This window comes from Homo sapiens, chromosome 5, assembly GCF_000001405.40.
Source record: "Homo sapiens chromosome 5, GRCh38.p14 Primary Assembly".
NCBI lineage: Eukaryota > Metazoa > Chordata > Mammalia > Primates > Hominidae > Homo > Homo sapiens.
In genome coordinates, this window is record NC_000005.10 from 163,353,952 (window position 1) to 163,378,338 (window position 24,387).

At 40.0% G+C, this 24,387-nt stretch overlaps 1 long non-coding RNA gene across 3 annotated transcripts in view, besides 1 other annotated feature; it reads right to left on the reverse strand.

Moving 5' to 3' along the window:
• LOC105377700 (uncharacterized) overlaps positions 1-24,387 on the reverse strand; it is a 348,217-nt gene that overhangs the window by 264,846 nt on the left and 58,984 nt on the right. The window lies entirely within an intron of this gene.
• Positions 19,417-19,918: an enhancer, noted in NCBI's record as "NANOG hESC enhancer chr5:162800374-162800875 (GRCh37/hg19 assembly coordinates)". NCBI's record gives its function as "activates a minimal SCP1, AML or CMV promoter by ChIP-STARR-seq in primed H9 embryonic stem cells {active_cell/tissue: H9 hESC(primed)}" and the evidence as "EXISTENCE:reporter gene assay evidence [ECO:0000049][PMID:30033119]".

The window sequence follows — 24,387 nt, forward strand, 5'->3', positions numbered from 1 at the left end:
ACCACAATATTGCAGTAAAGAAAAAATATAACTAATGTGAGGCCGGCCACTTGGGAGCTCCGGATTTCTCATGCAAATCAGTCTCATGGAGGCTCAGAGGTTAGGGTTTTTCTTTTTTTTTTTGAGACAGAGTCTCGCTCTGTTGCCCAGGCTGGAGTGCAATGGCACGATCTCGGCTCACTGCAACCTCTGCCCCTCCAGGTTTAAGCAATTCTCTGCCTCAGCCTCCAGAGTAGATAGGATTACAGGCGCATGCCACCACACCCGGCTAATTTTCTGTATTTTTAGTAGAGATGGGATCTCACCATCTTGGCCAGGCTGGTCTTGAACTTCTGACCTCGTGATCCACCCACCTAGGCCTCCCAAAGTGCTGGGATTACAGGCATGAGCCACCGCACCCGGCCTAGGGTTTTTCAAGAATAGTTTGCTGGGCAGTGTGCTAGGGAATGGGAAATGTTGATTAGTTGGGGATGAAATCGTAGGGGTATGGAAAGCAGTTCTTGTGCCCTGAGCCAGCCTCTGGGTGGGAGTCACAAGACTGGTTGAGTCATGAGTCGTGGGACCGAGTAGAGTTAGTTGGTCATCAAAAAGCCAAAAGTCTGAAAACCATCTCAAAAGGCCAACCTTAGGTTCTATAATAGTGATGTTATCCATATGAACAATTATAAATTTTGTGACCCTGGAACAAGGCCAGTTATCACTTAACCATGCCTACATCTTAGCAGAATTCAGCCCCCTCTCATATTCCTAACCTTGTGGGCTTTCATTAGTTTTTACAAAGGTTGTTTAGTTTGGGGAAGGGTTATTATCATTCTTGCCTTAAGGGTAAACTATAAAGTAAATTCTTCCCTAAGTTAGGTTGGCCTATAGCCAGGAATGACCAAGGACAGCTTGGAGGTTAGAAGCAAGATACAGTCAACTATGTCAGATTCTCTTACTGTCATAATTTTGCAAAGGCAGTTTCAGTTCCACTTTATACTCTCTGACAGGATCCTGCAGTCAACTATAGAGTGCTATGAACCAGGAAGAACCTTAACAACCATATAATTCAGAAGTCAGCGAACTTTTTCTGTAAGGGCCAAATAATATTTTAGCTTTGCAGGCCATACTGTCTCTGCAATAACTACTCAATTCTGCCATCATAGCACAAAAGCAACAATAGATAATACCTAAAGGAATGTCATTCCAATAAACCGTTATTTAGAAAAACAGACAGATGGCTGGATTTGGCCCATGAACTGTAGTTTGCCAACCCCTGATACAGTCTATACCTTTATCTTACATGTTGTGAAGCTGAGTATGAAGAGAGTACAATAGCATGAATGTTTATGTCCCCTCAAATTCATATGTTAAAATCCTAACCCCCAATGTAACAATATTAGGATGTGGAACCTTGGAAGGTAATTAGGTCATGTGTGTGGAATCTTCACTATTGGGATTAGTACCCTTATAAAAGGGACCATAGAGAGATCCCCACATACCTTTCCACCATGTGACCTCACTGTGAAAGGACAGCTATCTATGAGGAAGGAGGTCCTCACCAGACACTGAATCTGCTGGCTCCTTGGTCTGGAACTTCCCAACCTCCAGAATGGTAAAAAATAAGTTTTTGTTGTTGACAAACCACTCAGTCTATGGTATTTTGTTATACAGACCAAATAGACTAAGACAAGGAAAGTGACTTGAGAATTAGAATCCATCTTCCTGACCCAAAGCCTAGTCCAAGGTGTTGCAACTGAGAGGTGACAGCGTGCTGGCAGCCCTCGCAGCCCTCGCTCGCTCTCCACGCCTCCACTGCCTGGGTGCCCACTCTGGCTACACTTGAGGAGCCCTTCAGCCCACGGCTGCACTGTGGGAGCCCCTTCCTGGGCTGGCTGAGGCTGGAGCCAGCTCCCTCAGTTTGCGGGGAGGTGTGGAGAGAGAGGCGCGGGCGGGAACCGGTGCTTGTGGGCCAGTGCGAGCTCTGGGTGGGCGTGGACTCGGCAGGCCCCGCACTCGGAGCAGCCAGCTGGCCCCGCCGGCCCCGGGCAGTGAGGGGCTTAGCACCTGGGCCAGCAGCTGCTGTGCTTGACTTCTCCCCGGGCCTTAGCTGCCTCTCCGCGGGGCAGGGCTTGGGACCTGCAGCCTGCCATGCCTGAGCCTCCCCCCAACCTGTGGGCTCCTGCGCAGCCCGAGCCTCCCCAACAAGTGCCACCCCCTGCTTCACGGCACCCAGTCCCATCGACCACCCAAGGGCTGAGGAGTGTGGGCGCATGGCATGGGACTGGCAGGCAGCTCCACCTGCAGCCCCCATGCAGGATCCACTGGGTGAAGCCAGCTGGGCTCCTGAGTCTGGTGGGGACTTCGAGAATCTTTATGTCTAGCTAAGGGATTGTAAATACACCAATCGGCACTCTGTATCTAGCTCAAGGTTTGTAAACACACCAGTCAGCACCCCGTGTCTAGCTCAGGGTTTGTGAATGCACCAATCGACACTCTGTAGCTAGCTACTCTGGTGGGGACTTGGAGAACCTTTGTGTCCACACTCTGTATCTAGCTAATCTAGTGGGGATGTGGAGAACTTTTGTGTCTAGCTCAGGGATTGTAAATGCACCAATCAGCACCCTGTCAAAATAGACCAATCAGCTCTCTGTAAAACAGACCAATCGGCTCTCTGTAAAATGGACCAATCAGCAGGATGTGGGTGGAGCCAGATAAGGGAATAAAAGCAGGCTGCCCGAGCCACCGTGGCAACCCGCTTGGGTCCCCTTCCACAGTGTGGAAGCTTTGTTCTTTCACTCTTTGCAATAAATCTTGCTACTGCTCACTGTTTGGGTCCACACTGCTTTTATGAGCTGTCACACTCACTGCGAAGGTCTGCAGCTTCACTCCTGAGCCAGCGAGACCACGAACCCACCAGAAGGAAGAAACTCTGAACACATCCGAACATCAGAAGGAACAAACTCCGGACAAGCCGCCTTTAAGAACTGTAACACTCACCGTGAGGGTCCGTGGCTTCATTCTTGAAGTCAGTAAGACCAAGAACCCACCAATTCCAGACACACTACAACCTGACATTGTCCTTAAAAAAAGCTTAGACTGACGAATCTAAGATACTCAAAAACCCAAAGAAATTAATGGAGCCTCTAAATCTTTGGAAATTAGAGGGGGATATAATTTCATTTCTTTTTTTGAAACATGCAGGAATAGGTACGAACAAATACTGCTTTTACAAAGCCAATCTTCCTTGCAAATAGCACGAATGTTACTATCTTGAGCATAGCTTTCCTATGAAACTGAACACAGGGATAAATATTGAAAAGAGCTTGCCTTCTCCAAGAAATTTTTGTGGTACACAGGATTTTGAAGACAAATGTATTTTAAAATACCAGATCAATTAAAAATACAATCAGTTGCATTTGTTGAGCACCCACCATGTCAAAGCACAATGCCTAAAACTTCTTCATACCTAAAAAGACTGTCTGACCCTCAACAAGTAAAATTCACCACTTGTTCCTACAATTCCATTCCCTTTTCATCACATTAAAGATAACTTTATTGCAAGGTGTTATAGGTTGAATTGTGTCCCCCTAAAATTAAAATGTTGAGGTTCTAAACTCCAGTCCTTGAGAATGTGACCTTTCTTGGAAATAGAATAGTTGTGTATGTAATTAGTTAAGATAGTCATTATGGCAGGTCCTAATGCAATATTACTAGTCTCTTTTGAAAGGAGAGCATTTAGACAGAGACAGGCACACAGAAAGAATGCCATGTGAAGATGAAGTTTGAGACACAGGTGATGCTTCTCCAACCACAGAATACCAAAGATGGCCGGAAAACCACAAGAAGCTGGGAAACACAAATTAAATGGATTCTATTTAAGAGCCCTCAGAAAGAACCAACCCTGACAACACCCTGATCTCAGACTTCTAGTTTCAAAACTGTGAGACAACACATTTCTGTTGGTTAAGCCACCCAGTTTTCAGTACCTTGTTACAACAGCCCTAGAAAATTGATACAAAAAGGTTTACACGTCTTTATCTAGCCCCTAGAATAGAGGTCCCCAACCCCCAGGTCATGGCCTGTTAGGAACCTGGCCACACAGCAAGAGGTGAGCAGTGGGTGAGCGAGCAAAGCTTCATCTGTATTTATAGCCACTGCCCATTGCTTACATTACCACCGGAGTGCCACTTCTTCTCAGATCAGCGGTGGCATCAGAGTCTGATAGGAGCGTGAACCCTATGGCGAACTGCACATGCAAGGGATCTATTTTGCATGCTCCTTATAAGAATCGAATCCCTGATGATCTGTCACTGCCTCCTGTCACCTCTAAATGGGACTGTCCAGTTGCAAGAAAATAAGCTCAGGGCTCCCACTGATTCTACATTATGGTGAGTTGTGTAATTATTTCATTATATGCTACAATGTAATAATAGAGATAAAGTGCACGATAAACGCAATGTGCTTGAATTATCCCGAAAATATCCCCCACTGTCACCTTGTCCATGGAAAAATTATCTTCCATGAAACCAGTCCCTGGAGCCAAAAACGCTAGAGAACGCTGCCCTAGAATATAAGTGCTTTAGAACAGATATGTTCTTTTTATGTATTCATCCATTTGTTCCAAAACACTTTTTACTAAATGCCTTATGTCCCAGAACTTATCATAAAACCTGACTTACTGCAGACATTTGATAAATGTTTGACGGATAAATGAACAAAGGTAGATGATAAGGTTTGGCTGTGTCTCCACCCAAATCGCATCTTGAATTGTAGTTCCCACAATCCCCATGTGTTCTGGGAGTGACCTGGTGGAAGGTAATTGAATCATAGGGGCAGTTACCTTCATATTGTTCTTGTGACAGTGAGAGAGTTCTCACGAGCTCTGATGGTTTTATAAGTGGCTTCCCCCCTCCCCCACTTTTGCTTGACACTTCTTCTTGCTACCACCATATCAAGAAGGACATGTTTGCTTCTCCTTCTGCCATAATTGTAAGTTTCCTGAGGCCTCCCCAACCATGCTGAACTGTGAGTCAATTAAATAGCTTTCCTTTATAAATTACCTGGTCCCTGTCCTTTTAGCAGCATGAGAGCAAAGTAATACAGTATACCGGTACCAGGAGTGGGGCACTGCTGTAAAGATACCTGAAAATGTGTAAGTGACTTAAGAACTGGGTAATAGGCAGAGGCTCGAACAGTTTGGAGGGCTCAGAAGAAGACAGGAAAATGTGGGAAAGTTTGCAACTTCCTAGAGATTTGGAGGGCTCAGAAGACAGGAAGATGTGGGAAAGTTTGGAACTTAGATTGGGAAAGTTTGGAACTTCGTAAAGACTTGTTTAATGGCTTTGACCAAAATGCTGATAGTGATAATGGACAATGACATCCAGGCTAAGGTAGTCTCAGATGGAGATGAGGAACTTGTTGGGAACTGGAGTGAAGGTTACTCTTTCTATGCAAAAAGACTGGTGGCATATTGCACCTGCCCCAGAGATCTGTGGAACTTTGAACTTGAGAGAGAAGATTTAGGTTATCTGGTGGAAGAAATTTCTAAGTGGAAAGCATTAAAGAGGAAGCAGAGCATAAAAATTTGGAAAATTTGGAGCCTGATGATGCAAAAGAAAAGAAAAGCCAATTTTCTGGGGAGAAATTCAGGCTTGCTGCAGAAATTTCCATAAGTAACAAGGAGCTGAATGTTAATAACCAAGAAAATGGGGAACATGTCTCCAGGACATGTAACAGACCTTCATGACAGCTCCTCCCATCACAGACCTGGAGGCCTAGGAAGGATAGTGGTCTCCTGGGCTGGATTCAGAGCCCTCCTTGCTGTGTGCAGCCTTGCAACTTGGTGCCCTACACCCTAGCCACTCCAGCCATGGCTAAAAGGAGCCAATGTATAGCTCAGGTCATTGCTTCAGAGGGTGCAAGCCCCAAGCCTTGGCAGCTTCCACATGGTGTTGGGCCTGCAGGTGTGCAGAAGTCAAGAAGTGAGATTTGGGAACCTCTGCCTAGATTTCAGAGGATGTATGGAAACACCTGGATGTCCAGTCAAAAGATTGCTGCAGGGGTGGAGCCTCATGGAGAACCTCTGCTAGAGCAGTGCAGAAAGAAAATGTGGAGTTGAGACCCCACACAGAGTTCCTACTGGGACACTGCCTAGTGGAGCTGTGAGAAGAGGACTGCCATCCTCTAGACCCCAGAATGGTACATCCACCAAAAGTTTGCACCACGTGCCTGGAAAAGCCACAGGCACTCAACATCAGCCCATGAAAGCAGCCAGGATGGGGACTGTACCCTGCAAAGCCAAAGAGCAGAGCTGCCCAAGGCCATGGGAGGCTAGTTCATGCATCAGCGTGACCTGGATGTGAGACATGGAGTCAAAGGAGATCACTTTGGAACTTTAAGGCATAATGACTGCCGCAGTAGATTTCATACTTGCATGGGGCTTGTAGCACCTTTGTTTTGGCCAATTTCTCCCATTTGGAACAGGTGTATTTACCCAGTGTCTGCACCCCCATTGTATCTAGGAAGTAACTAACTTGCTTTTGATTTTACAGACTCATAGGTGGAAGGGACTTGCCTTGTCTCAGATGAGACTTTGGACTTGGACATTTGAGTTAATGCTGGAATTAGTTAAGACTATGGGGGACTGTTGGGTAGGCATGATTGTGTTTTGAAATTTTTGAAATTTCGGAGGGGCCAGGGGGTAGAATGATATGGTTTGGCTGTGTCCCCAGCCAAATCTCATCTTGTAATTCCCATAATCTCCACATGTCATAGGAGGGACCTGGTGGGAGGCAATTGAATCATGGGGACAGTTACCTCCATGCTGCTCTCATAAGATCTGATAGTGAGTGAGTTCTCACAAGATCTGATGGTTTTATAACGGATTTTTTCCCCTTTTGCTCGGCACTTCTCCTTGCTGCTGCTTGGCACGGAAGGACATGTTTGCTTCCCTTTCTGCAATGATTGTAAGTTTCCTGAGTTCTCCCCAGCCATACTGAACTGTGAGTCAATTAAACCTGTTTCCTTTATAAATTACCCAGTCTCATGTATGTCCTTATAGCAGCATAAAAAGGAACTAATACAGTAGACAAAAAGGAAGGGAGAAATGGAAGAAGGAAAAAATACAAGTGAATGTACTCAGAGTTCTTTTCTTGAAAGTGCTCAAAGTAGTGTTAGCGAGACAAAACTTACACATGTGAAAATGTCTTATATTACAAAGCAGTATAGAATAAATGGCCCAGATATTGAGTACCATCTGAACTCAGGAGACATCATAGGTAAAGTCAGATGTGAGGTGTGTATTAGAGTTTTTGTTTGTTTTTGTTTTGGGGTGTTTTACTTAGCAGCATTAATCAAATTTGAATTTGATGAAGAGACTCATCACATATGCATAAAAATCACTGTTTTTTAAAAAGCACATTGATCTTCTTATAAAACAAGAAATGCTTAAGTAATGCATATAACCATTATCTAGTCATTGTTAGTTCCAGGATTTTTTAATGTTAGGTTTTCTTAATTCATGGCATATTTTTGTTTGAAGCAGCAAAATTCCAAAGTAGGATTTTGCTTAGGCCAGTGGTTTTCAAATTTTAGAGTGCCCAAGAATTACATGGAGAAATATGAAGCATGATGGAAGTCCTGGGCCCCACACTAGTCCATCTCAACTAGCATCTCTAGGGCAGAACCAAAGAATTTGCCTCTTAAATATTCATCCCTCATGTAATTTCTCTACAAGTGGTGTGTGGAGAACATGGCCTTAGGCCTTTGTTGTCATGAAAACTGAACTTCTGTTTAATGGTAAAGACATTATAATTTTATTTAAAAATACTTTGCCAGGAGCAGTGGCTCACGCCTGTAAACCCAGCACTTTGGGATGCCCAGGTGGGCAGATGGCATGAGCTCAGGAGTTTGAGACCACCCAGGACAACATGGTAAAACCCTGTCTCTACAAAAAATACAAAAACTAGCTTGGCATGGTGGCAGTCACCCGTACTCCCAGCTACTTGGAGGGATGAGGTAGGAGGATTGCTTGGGCCTAAGAGGTTGAGGCTGCAGTGAGTCAAAGTTGTACCACTGCACTCCAGCCTGGGCAACAGAGTGAGACCCTGTATCCACAAAACAAACAAACAAACAAACAAACCTCTATAGTAGAGAGTAAATAAATGTAAATATCTCAAAAACCATTGATTGTGGTTTGGGATTTTTTGTTTTTGTTTTCATTCTGAGTTTGGGTTCATTTTTTTGTTTTGGGGGGTTTTTTGCTGAATTTTTTCCAAGTCTGTATTTTTCCAGTATCTTCCAGATACTAATCACCTTCCAAGATTGCAAGTTTTTTGTCTTCAACTGACAATTAATTCATTAATTTAAGGGAGAACTATGGCTTGGTTAATATCATCTGCCTTTTTTTTTTTTTTAGATTTCTCAATGCATTAACTATGCCTCTAAAAATTAGAGAGCTTAAACATACACCAACTATTCTATGAAGTTGCAGAAAGGTTGAATGTTGTTTTGTTTTGAAGCCAATTTTATAATCTTGAAAAATCAAACTACTACTTCTTAAATACACATAGTATCATAAATTCAAAACGTCTCCCTGATCTGTATTTGGTACCCCAAGTTGATGACAGGGTCCACTGACCATTATTATCAATAAGTGTGTGCCAGCCATCAACAGACAGCACAGTATTTAAAAACCTTAAAAATTTTCATTCTTCCTACTCTCTGAGAAAATGTTTCCTATAGAAGGACATTTACAATCATCAGGCTAGCAAGTCTTGATCACTGGACTGAACTATTAGCATATATAAAGTCAAATATGCCTTTGCAGATGCTCATAAACAAAATATCCATTCCTTTGCCCTCCCCGCTAAGAAACACCATTTTTATATTGTTACGTGAAAAGATTTGGAGCCATGCTGATAAAAGCTAATTAACTGAGCAGTTACTATTTACCAGGCACTATGATAAGCACTTCAAATTCAAATATCAATTTATCATCATGACAGCCTGTGATAGCGGTTTCATTATCATTCTCATTTTACAATTTAGAAAACTGGTGATTAATGATTAACTGGCTGAGATCTAACAGTTATTAAGTAACAGAGATGAGGTTTGAATTTGTGGTCATCTGACTTCAACTCCTGTGCTACAAGTTTTCCTCCAAATTATCAGATTCTGGTGAAGTACAATGAGAACTGGGCTGAGATCCAAGAGATAAAAATGTTCTTCTCTCAGCTGTGATACAAAGTAACTGGGTAGTTTTGACCATGATATTTACCCTCTTTGGGTTTCCGTTTCCTCTTCTATAAAGAGTGGTAATTGGACTACTAGATGAATAATAAAATTGCTTCCAACACTAATATACCATGATTTAAGAGCAGCCACTTTGCACAAAAAGAGGAATAGAAAGACAATGGGAGCCATCTGGATGTGAAAATGATGAATGGCAAAAGCTTTTGGAGGGGATAGTCTCAGATTAGCATTCAGTGCCTTGGGGCCCACACACCACATTGCCAGTCTCCTGCAAATTGCCTGCAGCTGCACTGACCTAGCCTCTTAGACTGCAGAACCCTTGACAAAGTGTTCAAGGTATTTAGCCTTGGGTTTCCCTAAGAACCCATCTAACCCATAAAAATTAGAGGTCTTGTAATTTTGCCAATTTTGCTGTTAGAAGCGTAACAAAGCTTTTTTGTCTGAACTAAATTATCCCTTCATTCCAGATAGCAAGAATGCCTTTGCAAATTCTTTCTAGAGTAGCTGATAGTAGAGGATTTTCACATCAGTGAAAAAATGAAAACCATCTAAAGAAACAATCATAATGATATCATGATGGAAGAAAAGCTGTGTTAATCTCAGAAGCTATGTGTCTGTATCCACTTTTATAGGGTCATGCCTCAAAAATTCACCTCAATCCATAATGCCCAAGATTTCTACAGAATTTTAGGGATTTATATTCTCATTATTACTACTTCCTCTTATTTAGAAATCCTTCTTAAGTCTCAGTCTCACTCATGCTAGCCTCCCATTATGTTCTTTCTACCCTGCATGAACCCAAACATCTTCCAAATTATGATTCCCACAGGGCAGCGCTGGTGATGACAAAAGAGGATCTCTTCATAGCATACAGAGCAAACAGTCCTAAATCTAATATTACAAATCTCTGTTCTTAAAAATTTCAAAGCCATCTTTGCCATTGGGAATTTTTCAATGGCTATATTTTGTCTTGAAGTCCTGGCATCTCTCATCAGGTTGCCTGGCCCTCTCTTCATCTCCCTGGACCCTTGGGATACTCTCTCAAAGTCATATATCCCAAATGTTTTTATGCAGAAATGCTGGCTACTTCTCTTGCATTATCCTTCCAGACCATGTCTAGTGCCTATTTCTTCATACCCAAAAAGAACTCTACTACTGGCATGCCAATTTATAGTAAATTACTTTCAACTACATTGTCTGCTACCCAATCTTTGTACAATTATGTTATTGGAATATAAGTGGGAACTTTATGGCCCAGTCTCACCACAGTGTATTATTCAAACAAACAAAAAGCAATTCTGATTCTGACTCTTCAAGTTAACTGAGAGATTTGATTTAAAACAAAGTAATACTTTACTGCTTCACACTGATAGTGGCAGGAGGCAGACAAATGCCTAGGCAGATAGGGGTGGGTCCTTGGTGAAACCCCACCTTCAAACCAAAGACAGTTTAAAGTCTGAAAGCCAAGCTACAAGTCTTGAATAAATCCATGGACCAGATTAAGAGCCTCTCTTCCCATCTGGCATGCTTTCCTATCATTGATCCCTACCCCTTCACCTATTTACATATACTTACCCTTCCCTAATTGTTTTTTAACACTGTTATGTCCATCTTTGAGTGGTGGCTTTGTTTTAGCCTTTTTTGCATACTCACAAACCAATCAGCACGCACTCACCCATTCTGAGCCAATAAAAGCCCTGGGCTCAGCCACACTTAGAGACTGCTCACCTTTGGGCACCTGACTTCAGAGAGGAGGCTGCCCTCTTGGATCCCCTCCCCACTGAGAGCTGTCACTCAATAAAACTCCCTTCATACTTCAGTTGTCAGTGTACCCTAATTATTCTTGGATGTGGGACAAGAACTCGGGACCTGCTGAATGTGGGTACAAAGAAAGACTGGAACACTGTAGCCCTCTGCCCTTCACTGGCAGAGGGCAGCTGCCCCACATGATGGGAAGCAGCACTGAGGTGGAAGCAGCAGCAGGGCCAGTCCCCAGAGCCACAGGCCGGAGTGGGACAATGGGACTAAAAGAGCTTGGCATGCTGTAACAACCCCTATAGGGATTTGGGGTCACTGGCATCCCTGTTCAGGTGCCACTGTGTTCTCCTCATCCAGACACCACTGCCCAAGGCAAAAACAGGTCATGTACACCCAGCCCAACTGCAGGTTGAGTGTAGATCCTGCAGCAAGCATTAGATATGGGCAGGAGCGCAAGCCAAGTGCTTCCTGCTGGGCCAAGTAGGTGGGATACCTCCTGCGGCAAGCCCGGGCCAGAGCAAGGCCTGGGCAGGGGTGTCACCAGCCACAGAGGTCTCCAGCTGGAAAAGCAGCTCTGAGAGAAATCCTGTGTCAACACCTTAAAATTCTTCTCCCATTTCTCTCCACTGCCAACTTTCATGTTAACTGCCCAAAATTGTTCTCCCCATTCTTCACTCTTCATTTTTGAAAAAAAAAAAAAATTACCCAATATGCTTATCTTCACAGACACTCCTATTTTCTCATTCCCCTCTTGACCCCCCTTTTGTAGTGGCATAACACTTTTTGTTAATTTTTTTGCATTTTTAAATTTTGCAATGCTTCTCAGCCCATTTTGAAATAAACCACTCCTCGTTCTTAGTTCATTCATTGGTCTAATCAACATAACAGGTAAACAGAGAGATAGCATGGGTAGGAACAACATTTTCATCAAGTAGTGGAAAAGAAAAGGGCAGTGTGAGTACTTATGCATTTTTATTTTTGTCCCTTTTACAAATAAATTAACATTTTTGAATGAATGGAAAAACCAAAACAAATGAATTGCAGTAGACTCATGCAGTGACAATTGTCATGTCTGGAGTTCTTAGGATTTACAGAGATAACATGGCAGAAATAAATTAAAGTTCTTTTTGACATAATAAAAGGCACCTTGAAAAGAGGTTTAACTTGAGAACTGTACCTGGAAAATGACAGCTGTGAATTAATTTGAATGCAGCAACATACGTTAAAGGAAACCAAAAACAACTATTTACTACACATACAAAAGAATCTTCTGTAGATCTAGGCAACATTCAGGCAACAGAACAAAACAGAACCCAGTATAAAGAAGTCCAGTCCAACTGAGTATTGACATCAAAATTTGTATGCAAGAGGCTGGGCGCGGTGGCTCATGCCTGTAATCCCAGCACTTTGGGAGGCTGAGGCGGGCAGATCACGAGGTCAGGAGATCGAGATCGTCCTGGCTAACTTGGTGAAACCCCATCTCTATTAAAATACAAAAAATTAGCCGGGCGTTGTGCAGGCACCTGTAGTCCCAGCTACTAGGGAGGCTGAGGCAGGAGAATGGCCTGAACCCAGGCGGTGGAGCTTGCAGTGAGCCGAGATCGCACCACTGCACTCCAGCCTAGGCAACAGAGCAAGACTCTGTCTCAAAAAAAAAAAAAATCCGTATGCAAGAAAGCTCCTTAACCTGTTGAAGTTTATTGATTGCAAACAAAATAAATGATCCTGACTAATTTAAACAGAATAGAATATCATTATAAAAAATATGAAGGAATGCAAAGGATAGAGAGAAAGATTTAAATCTGGCTATCTCTCTCCCCTGCTGAAAATGCTTAAATAAATTTCTTCTAAGTATAATTAAGATCAAAACCAAACCATCAACACTGCCTACAAATTGTGGATGACCTGCCTCCTTCTTCCCACTCCAGCAGTTTATTCTACCTATCTCTCCATGTTGCACTCACACTGGCCATTTTGTGGTTCCTTATCTATCATTGTCCCCTAGCCACAGGGCCTTTGCACATGTCCTTCCTCTTTCTAGATGCTCTTCCCTCCCATCTCCCCCACTTCTCATCTACTCATCCTACAGGCAAAAGATAAAGCTGCACTTCTCAGGTTAATGAGTTTGGATGTTGGTATCTACATAAAAGTATAAATAAAACAACAAAACAAAATTATTAACTCCAACAGGGAACAAAGAGTGAAATAAAAGAAAAACAATTATTGTATACCACATGAGTAAGGCATGAATAGTGTTTACAGACAACAGTCATATTGCTGAACACTGAATTTTCTGACCAAAATTATGAGATAACTCTATTGGGTGTGAGGTGTTGGTGCAGGAAAACAGGACAGTAATTACAAGTATTATTGGACTACTAGATGAATAATAAAATTGCTTTTATTTTAGGGGGAAACAAGGAGGGGGTGGTCAGGAAGTAGAGGGGGAGAAAGCTAAATATCTTCTTCCACAATGGAAAGGTCTCAAAAATGTGCCCTAAACTGAAAAAAATAGCTGTAAGAGTTCAGTCTTTGCAGCTGGAGGATCACAGATGGGGGAAAGTAGAAAATAGCATATAAAGATGCTGCTGTCTTTAAAATAAATCTTAAGAAATTATTGATTCTTAAAGCCAGGTATATACATCATTTTATTTTTAAAATGATACTATTTCCTAAAAGCTAAAGGGAAATTAAAATAGGAAAGAAACAAGAAAGGTAGGTGAGAGGCTAATGCATGTTGTCAAAACTTGTGCATCTGCTAGAGATGGGCCAAAAATTTGGCCATGTCTAATAATGTATTTTCTGAGAAAACTTTTAGGCAAAACTTATTATCAAAGAAATAGAAATCTTGGCTGTGCGTGGTGGCTCATGCCTGTAATCCCAGCACTTTGGGAGGCCAGTGAGGGCAGATCACTTGAGACCAGGAGTTCGAGACCAGCCTGGCCAACATGGTGAGACTCTATCGCTAATAAAATACAAAAATTAGCCAGGCATGGTGGTTCATGCCTGTAATCCACGCCACTCTGGAGCCTGAGGTGGGAGGATTGCTTGAGCCCAGGAGGTGGAGGTTGAAGTGAGCCAAGATCGCACCACTCTACTCCAGTCTGGGTGACAGAGCCAGACCCTGTCTGGAGAGAAAAAAAAAAAAAAAGAAAAGAAAAGAAATATAATCTCTATGATTGCAATTAGCACCTTGTGTCTAATAATGTGTTCTCATTTGAAATTGTTTATTGACAAACTACTGGTAGAGTTTCCTGAAGTGGTAGGTCTCCAGGGAAGGTTTACCTAGAAGAATTTCTTCCCCTAAATGCATCAGGACCACAAGTGACATTTTTTTCAAGATGAAAAATTATGTTTAATGGCCCACATATGTTGTAAGACAATTATTTCTGATATGGAAAATAACAAGAAAGTCATGTGAGAAGCAAAGAAACCATATGCTCAGGAATTAGGAGAACTGAACTTTGGATTTTTCTATAGTTTGGATGTTTGACCCCTCCAAACCTCACATTGAAACTTGATCTCCAATGTTGGAGGTGGATCCTAATGGGAAGTATTTAGGTCAACACTCATGTGTTGACACCCTCCCATGGGGGTGAGTGAGTTCTCTCTCTAATAGTTCCCCCAGAGCTGGTTGTTAAAAAAGAGCCTGGCACCTCTCCTCTCTCTTGCTTCTTCTCTTGTCATGTGACCTCTGTGATCTTTGCACACACAGCCCCCTTTCACCTTCTACCATGAGTGGAAGCAGACTGAGGCCCTCAACAGAAGCAGATGTCTGTGCCATGCTTCTTGTATAGCCTGCAGAACTGTAAGCCAAATAAACCTCTTTTCTTTATCAATTGCCCAGCCCCAGATATTCCTTTATAGCAACATTATAAAGGAATTTAGGACAAAGTAGACCTGTATTGTCCAAAACAGTAGTCATTTGTCACATGTGGCTATTGAGTATCTGCAATGTTGTTAGTCCAAATTAAAATGTGCTGTAAACATGAAATATACAAAGGGTTACTAGAAAATTTAAAATCACATCTGTGGTTTGTATTGTATTTCTGTTGGACAATACTGCTTATTCTGAGTTCTGTCATTAGTGGTTGCATGGTAGTGATATGAATGTGAGTCATTTAACTTTATTGGGCCTTGATTTTCTTAAGTAGAAAATTGGTTGGGGGAGGTGGTTAGATAGATGGCCTCCAAAGCCCCTTTTCATTCAGAAATGTTACAAAGAATCCTAAGATGGGACACATATTAATGACTTGAAAAGCCAGCAGATTGTTCCTTCAAATAGCTCAACTCCACCATGGAGAGCTTCCCTCCCTGCCCCTGTCAAACCCAGCCAGACATCTTTACCAAATGATGTTCTCACCAGTCACTACTCTATGTCCTGTGCTGAATGCTTTACAAGTATTTCATTACATACTTATCCCTGCACTATGAAAGCAGTAGTATTACACTGTTTCACAGATGAGGAAACTGGAACCTGAAACTGTTAGCTGACGTTGAAAGGCTTCAGAGCCAGGATTTGGAGGAGTCAGGATCCATATTCCTCTGAATCCAAAACCTGAGCTCCTTATCAGTGTGCTCTGCTTTTCTTTACAGAAGCCAAATTGGTTTTCCTCTGGAACCTAAACTATATTACCAACTTTTTGAGTCAGTACAACTTTTTTGTGTTGTTTTTCATCCCTGGATCCTCAGCACATAAAAAGGATGATTAATAAGCAGTACAGTATGATTAATACAGGATGATTAATAAATAGGGCCATAATATTCTGAATTTCTGTGTCAGTTGGTTAAAAATTAAGATTACATTTAAAGTATGCCTATAAAATAATGTGACATTGTTGGGTTTTTAAGAATATATGTACATATCAGCCATATCTAGAATGCAGTACATAAATGACCATCATCTACTTCAGAGGAGAAACTTTGAACAGTTATTTCAACATTGTTTACTTAGTGTTTTTTAATCCTTTTTATAAATTATCTTCAGAGCCCAGAATATATTTTCTTTGAATGTCTGAAGCACAAATTTTATCTCTTCTTTCATGTATTGTTTATGTTAGGCCAGAGAACAAGATATCAAAAGTACTTGAGAGCCAACTTGGAAAGTCTCCTAACGGCCTACAATGGGACAAATTTGAGCATCAAAAAACAATAATAATAGTATCTGATTGAAATATAGCAGATAATTTTAAAAATATTTTTAAAAACCTATTGGTTGTCACCAGAATTTGCTGTGTCATCAACCCATCATTATAAAAAATGACAAATATATTGAATATATTGAGCATTTAATTCCACTTTTCTGCATAAGTTATATTTCAGTATAACCAATTGTTGCTGAGGAAAAGGTCTTATGCAGAACATTTCTAGCAAATAAATGCAAAAACAATGATAAAATAAGAAAATCACCATTTGCAACCCCTAATAAAATAATGGTTCAAGGCAATAATCATCATAGATACTAAAACCATTAGTTAAAATTTGATGAGCAACTTTAAAAGGAAGAAATCATGCTGACTGCATTTGAAAGTGGAACATCCAAAATTATGTTTACCCTCATGTGATGCAATAAAAAGTACAAAGCATTTGCTTTTTAAAAAAGAAAGAAAGCTGAATCTAATCAAGCCTTCAGAGTTCTAACTTCCCATTTACAAGAAGTATAAAGGCTAGAAAAAAGTTAAACAACACAACACTAGAAGAAAACAATCAGCCATATCTAGGATGCAGCACATCCTGCAGGACAATAAGCTTGGTGTATTCAATAAATGGATGATGTTCTGTAACAAAAATTGTAAAAGGGTGAGAGTGGTATCAGCAAGATGGCAGAAAGGAGTTCTCTGGCTCCACTCCCTCCTCCACAGATGCCCAACTTGCAACTATCCAAGGGCAAAAATACCTTCATGAATATCCCAGAACTCCAGAGTGAAGCTGAGACATCCCCTTCAACTGCACAACTGAGAAAACCCAAGATAAAAGGTCCTCCCCAGGCCAGGAGGCAACTATAAGTTAGCATTTACCTGCAAAAGGAGCATCTGGTCCCTCTGAACCCAGCAGCTAAGAGGTGATCCAACTAAGACCAGGACAGGAGGCAACTGCAGGTTAGTGAGTACCCACCTGGCCCTGCCCAACTTCAAATGCAAGTCTCAGTGCTCTGCTAAAGCCTGTCCTAGGCCAGGAGGCAAGCCTACATACATGTATATCTGTGGAGCATAGCCTCTGGCCCTACCCAACTCAAATGGCCAAGCAGCAACCTCAGAGACCTCATCCAGCCTGGGAACCCAGCATCCAAACCTCCCCAACTGGATTCAAAACAACAATACTGTCCAGCCAGGGAAGAAACCTGTAATCCTGCCTGACCAGAGATGATTGCAAAGCTCTGCCTGATGGCAGCATCCATCCGGTGGTCTCACCAGACCATGGAGCACAGCCAGCACTACCCATCTGGCCACAGACAGCAGGAAGGCACCTAGCCCATCTGGACAGCCTGATACCAAAACCTGCCTTTCCAGGTTTGCTACTAGCTTGCCCATCCAGGATTCTAGGCCAGACTAAATAGTAAAGATCTACCACCATCAAAGTATGCCTGCAAAGGCTGGAAGAAGTAGCTATCTCCTCAAATGTACAGGCATCAATGTAAGAACACAAAGATTATTATAAATCAAGGAAATATGATACCACCAAGAGAAACTAATAAACTTCAATAATTGGCCCAGAAGAAAAGGAAAGCTATATAATAATTGACAAAGAATTTAGAATAAACCTTTTAAAGTTCAGGGAACTCCAAAAAATATTAATAGAAAATTAAATGAAATTTGGAAAACTCAATACATAAAAATGAGTCTGACAAAGAAATATAACAAAAAATAGAAAACCTAGAGATAAAAAATACAATAACTAAATGGAAAATTTTCAGTAGAAACCTTCAACAGCAGAGTGATCAAATGGAAGAAACAATCAGTGAGCTAAAACATAGGACATCTGAAGTCATTCAACTAGAAGAGCAAAAAGAAAAAACAAAGAAAAAAATAAAGAGGGCCCATGGTAATCATGAGACACCATTAAGGGAACTAACTTTCACATAATAGAAATTGAGGAGAAGAAGAGAGAGAGAGAGAAAAAAAAACTATAAACCATATTTAAGTAAATAATGGCTGAAATTTCCCCAAATCTGGGGCAAGACAGCAACATCCAGGTACAGGGAGCTCGGAATCACTAACCAAATTCAAACCTAAGAGGAGTTCACCAAAGCACATTGTAATAAAATTATTAAAAATTTAAGACAAAGAATACAGAAAGCAGCAAAAGATAAGAAGCACATCATGTTCAAAAAGCTCTAATACACCTTTCAGCAGATTTCTCAGCAGAAACTTTGCAGGCCAGAGAAGAATAGAATGATATATTCAAAGTGCTGGGGAAAACAACTGCCAATCAAGGATATTTTAACCAGCAAAACTGTCCTTCAGAAATGAGTGAGAAATAAAAACTTTCCCAGGAAAACAAAACCTAACAGAGTTCACCAGCATTAGGCCTATGCTATAGGAATTGCTAAAATTCATTTTTAGGCTGAAATAAAAGCTAATTAATAACAAAAAGACACACAAAAGTAAAAAACTCAATAATACAAGTAATACATAGTCATACTCAGCATTCTCAAATACTGTTACAGTGATGTGGAAAGCATTTGTATCACTACTATGTGGGTTAAAAGAAAACTATTAAAAACAACTGTATCTACAATAAATTATTAAATTATAATTATATATAAAATTATATATAATTATAAATTATTAAAGAATACAAATTACCAAACAAAGGTAAATCTTGACATCAAAATTATAAAAAGTGGGAAGGGAGCGTGTAAGTGTAGAGTTTCTGTATGTGAGTAAAGTTAAGTTATTATCAGCCTAAAGTAGCATGTTAGAAGGATAAGATGTTTTATGTAAACATAAACATGGTAGCCACAAAGCAAAAACCTATAGTATTTCTGCAACATGCAAAAAGAAAGGATTGAAAGCATACCACCGCAGAAAACCATAAAACTGTTCTGGAACCAAACTGAGGGTCAGGCTTCTATTTCTCGTGGCCCAATAATGAGATGCAGATGAACTGGGGAGGAAGAGAGTTTTCATTTCTGTAACTGGTTATAGGGACAAGGCCTGGAAAATATCACCAGACCAACTCAAAATTACAAAGTCTTCCAGAGCTTATATAACTTCTAAGCTATATGTCGATGTGTAAGTGTGCATTCATCTAAAGACATAAGTGATTAACTTCTTTTAATCTACAACTAAGAACTGAGTCCTGAAGACCTTCCTCTGGAGCCTCAGTAAATTTCCTGATGGGTAAGTTTACTCAGTGTATTTACTAAATGGGTCCGAGTGCTGAAGTGATTACCCTTATCTTGTCTCCTGCTAAATCATGGAGGTTTGGGGAGTTTCTACAGACTCCCAATAAAACTTGTTTAATCTTAAACAGATCCTGTTAAGAATTGCTTTATTTTTACATCCTTTAAGACCCAGAAAAGGCCTAGGCAAAACTCTTAATGAGCTTTTATTACATTCCAGCCTTTGTATAAGGGCACTGTCCCTTTCAGCTTTTAATATTTAACTTAAGCACTCAGTCAGTAGTAAAACAGTTGTTATGGAGTTCTGTGTTATAGTGAGACCTGCCCTGTCACAAAACCACAAAGAAAGACAGCAAGAGAAGAAGAAAGAAACAAAAGACATGCAAAACAGTCAAACACATTACTCACAATAGCCAAGACAGGGAATCAACCTAAGTGTCCAATAACAAATGAATGGATACAGAAAATCTGGCATATGTACACAATGGAATACTGTTCAGCCTTAAAAAAAGAAAATTCTGTCATCTGTGACAACATGAATGAATCCAGGGGACATTAAGCTAAGTGAGATAAGCGAGGCACAGAAAACAAATATCACATGATCAACTTAGATGGAGAATCTTAAAAAGCTGAACTCATAGAAGCACAGAGTAGAATGATGCTTACCAGAGGCTGGCAGAGGGTGAAAGGGGGCAGGGGAAGGGGGTGTAACAAGTCAGTGAGGGAGCAAATGGAGAACTGTTGATCAAAGGGTACAAAGTTTTAGATAGGGAGGAGAAATAGGTTGCGAGATCTGCTGCACAGCAGAGTAACTATAGTCAATAATAATGTATTATATATTTCAAAATTACTAAGAGAGTACATTTCAAATGTCTCACCATAAAAAAGATAGGTAAACAAGGTGAAGAATATGTTGATTAGCTTGATTTAATCATGCCACATTGCATACAGATATCATAACATCACACTGTACCTTATAAATATTTACAATAGATTTCTCAATCAATAATATTGACAAAATAAATGAGAAAAGATGACAAAATTAAAAGAGACTATTATAGATTAAAAGGGTTAAGAATATAAATGCCAAATGCAACGTGAACACCTTGTTTGGACACTGATTCAAACAAACTAACTTTAAAAAAGTCTTTTTGAAGTAATCAAGGAAATGGAATATGAACTGGGTATAAAATAATGTTAAGAAAGTATTGTTCATTTCGTTAGTACGATAACAGCAGTGTGATTTTGTTTTTTAAAATGTCCTTATAAGTCAGGGATGCATAATAAACTAGTAACATAAGTTAGATGACATGATATTAAGGACTCTAAAATATAAAATATACCAGCAAAATTTAACACTACCACCAGCAATAGTAGCAATGGTAGTTGTAGTGGAGATGAAAAATAAAGTGAACAAAATATTTATAATGTGGAAACTGCAAAATATGTATATTAAGGTTCACTTTCTTTTTCTCTCTACTTCTGTAATGTTTGAAAATTTCCATAATAACAAATAATTTAAGCCTCAAATAATTTGGAAGCATGTCTCATGAGTTAGGTGGTGATTAAAATGTGTTACTCTATTTTGGTCAAAAACAATGCCTGTCTCTACTATAATAAGCAGTTTTCCTGTGTGTTATTGAAGGCAATTTCAGAAGAGAAGAACTGGGTTTGAATTATCATTCTGGGTGATCTTGTGTGCAGAGATCTGTGTCTCTGCATACCTTGTTTTCCTTATAGGTTAACTAAGGAAGTTAAATTATTGGATCACCAAATCTTTTCCAACACATTTCTAGAGCTGTTTCACTTAATGACAGATTATTAGATAAGGGAATAGCTTTTTATGGCCATAATAATCCTTTGAATATGTAAGTATTCATTTTCAAAATAATTTTTAAAAACAGCTTCATTACCTGTAATAATGACTATATTTAATATTTGACCACAGCAATTATACAAGGTCAGAAATACTCAAAACCAATTAATTCCATGAACAATAGCATATGAGAAAACTGCTTCAATATATTGTATTCCAGTCAGAGTGAACCTATAATCCCTGGAAATTCTTACCTGCTAATAGTTATCTAATTCTGATTATCTGCATGGCTCAGGTCACCAGATAACAGCTTAATTTACTACAGTGAATAGACTGCTTACCCTGTTACATCTCAAAGATTCTCCAAAACAGATAACTGGTACTGAATAAATTAAAAGAAACAATTTGGAGGTTTTCTACTCTTCAAACCAGTTATACTGATGATGTATAGTGTACTTAACCTTGTGAATCAGATATTTGACAGTAAATTAAACTAGCCATTATACCCCACTTTCCAAATACACAGAGGTGAAGTGAAGCTATCGGGATAATCTATTATTGGGTTTGGTTTTTTATATGGTTTGGCTGGGTCCCCATCCAAATCTCATCTTGAATTATAGTTCCCATAATTCCCACGTGTTGCGGGAGGGACCCAGTGGGAGGCACCCAGTGGGAGGCAGTTGAATCATGGGGGTGGTTTCTTCCATATTGTTCTCATGGTAGTAAATAAATCTCACAAGATCTGATGGTTTTATAAGGGGAAATCCCTTTCACTTGGTTCTCATTCTCTCTCTTGCCTGCTGCCATGTAAGACGTGCCTTTTGCCTTCCGCCATGATTGTGAGGCCTCCCCAGCCATGTGGAACTGTGAGTCCATTAAACCTCTTTTTCCGTATAAATTACCAAGTCTCAGGTATGTCTTTAACAGCAAACAAACTAATGCAGTTTTTTTGTTTGTTTGTTTTGTTTTTCATTCCTTGCCACCCTTTTATTCCACAATTCCATTCTATACTTCATCAGTTCCTAGGAACTTTTCCAATGTAGTCAAACAAATCACTCCTTAAGAGTAATGTTTCTATACCCTTTCTTTGATAATTTTACTTAATTCAATTGCTAAAATACCACTGGCATAATTTTATTCTTAAACTATTTTTATAATGCACAGCTATTGTTAGTATCTGGTGTTGTCCTTTTTTACTTAAGCTGATTATAAAACTAGAAGTCACTGTTTTTTAACATGGGAGGAAATATAACTTGCACTCACTAAAGTAATTAAATATTTGTATTGGGACATGGCAGATGTAATTAACCTCAACTCGAAATAGATTTAAACCTAAAATATTTGTGTAATGACTAATTACCTTAAAAAATAAAATTGCAATTATCTGACTCCATTACTCAATATGAGTACTTTTCCCGCTTAATTGCAAATAATGAACTAACCTGTCAATAATTGTACATAATAAAAGATGTCAGATCTGGAAGAGAGTAGAATTTGATACTGAAGTTTTTAACTTTTTAGAAGTATCTCTGTTTTCTTGCTCCAACTTAGGAAGAACATAATCACATTCGGATTTAGAATTTTGAGAAAGTTTAGGCAATTGCCTTTTGTTTAAGCCTTTTCAAGGTAAAACTATTTATTGTGTTGAAGAAATTAGAGGTCTGATGAATTTGAAACAAAGCATTGCTTTTGAATTCCTTCATGAATTTCATATCAGCATATAAAATTCCTACTAGATAATCCTGCATTTAAATGTGTAAACTTTCCTTGAAATAAACTTCCCAATACAAGCTATCATTATCGCTTTCAAAAGACCTTTGGGACACAGCTTGAAATTTTTGTATACTTTAATTGCTCAACCAAAAAAATATATACTTCAACCTCCAGCAGGCCACCACATTGCCTATCTTCAAGCAACATCATGGCATTCGGCACCTAGAAATGATGTTCCTAGGGCTGTGCTGCATGGGGGTGTGCAGTGCCCCTCACTTCAAGCAAACGCATGCTCCATTTAATCAAAATGTTCTACCAAGAGGCAACACTCAACAGATATTTGTTAATTCACTAGTAGTGCCTATAGCAGTAGGTTATTTGAATATTAGTGGAATATTAGAAGACTTAGATGCCAGAATTTCTTAATAATAAAAAGTATGAAGTGAGTAGATATTTGACAATCTTTGAATTCATTTCTTAGGGAAAGATTACCAAACAAGATTTGTAATTCAAATCCACAGTGTGATAGTAGGCATTGATCGCACAAATACAATAAACACCAAAATTCTGTTTTGCTCTTGGAGACCTAATTAATAACCACTTCAATGCCTAGCACAAAAGAAAGCTTTCTGCAAGTGCCTTCCTCTTAACGAAATATCGTCATAGACATCTTAATCTTTTCTTTCTCCTTTTACAATAATTTGGTATTATTATCAATATTGTTATTTTTTATGATGATTATACATTGGATTTGGAGACATCCAATAGCTTGACCAGGTCAGCAAGTGGTAGCCCCAAAACTGATATCCATGCCTTCTAATTCCAAGACTTGAGCACGTTCTATCCCAAACCTCAAATTCCATTTGAGTCATTCTTTAATTCTATAACCTGATTTCTAGTCACTTGAAAGTAAGAGCACAATGAAAAGAGAACTAGGTTACTTAAAACAATTGTGATAAAGAAAACTGCCAAAAATAAAGATATGCAAGTCTTTTTTCCCACCTACTGATTTGAAATTCTATAAAACAAAGGGCATGAAACAAGGAACCTACAGGTTGGCCTTTCTCATTAACAAACTTTTTCCCCTTCAGTAACTGGCAACAGTTTGTGGAGAAATAGAATAGTAGAACTGGAGGCATTCTTTAGAGTTGAAACTGATTCCAAAAACCTGAGTTCTCACCTCTGGGTCCCTCTTAAACTCCTCTACCCTTCACCTTCTCAGATCTCCTCCTGGGCCGAGATTCCCATGCCACAGCCTTCCCTAAGGAGGGGCTGTAGCACGTGATAGCTCAGAGACACCGCGGGCAGAAAGAAGGCACAGGGCTGTGGCCAGATGTGCCAGCAGGTTGGTGTTTAGGAAAAGAGGAGGCTAAGGGAAAGCACTGTTTTCCCAGGGAGCAGGCGCCAGCCCGGCTTCCTAGATTCCTCTTCCCTAAGTCCCTCCTGGCAACCCTTCAGTTTAGCACCCTCTTTATTCTCAGATCCTCCCACTCTCTAGATTTCATCCCTTCCATCCCTGGGC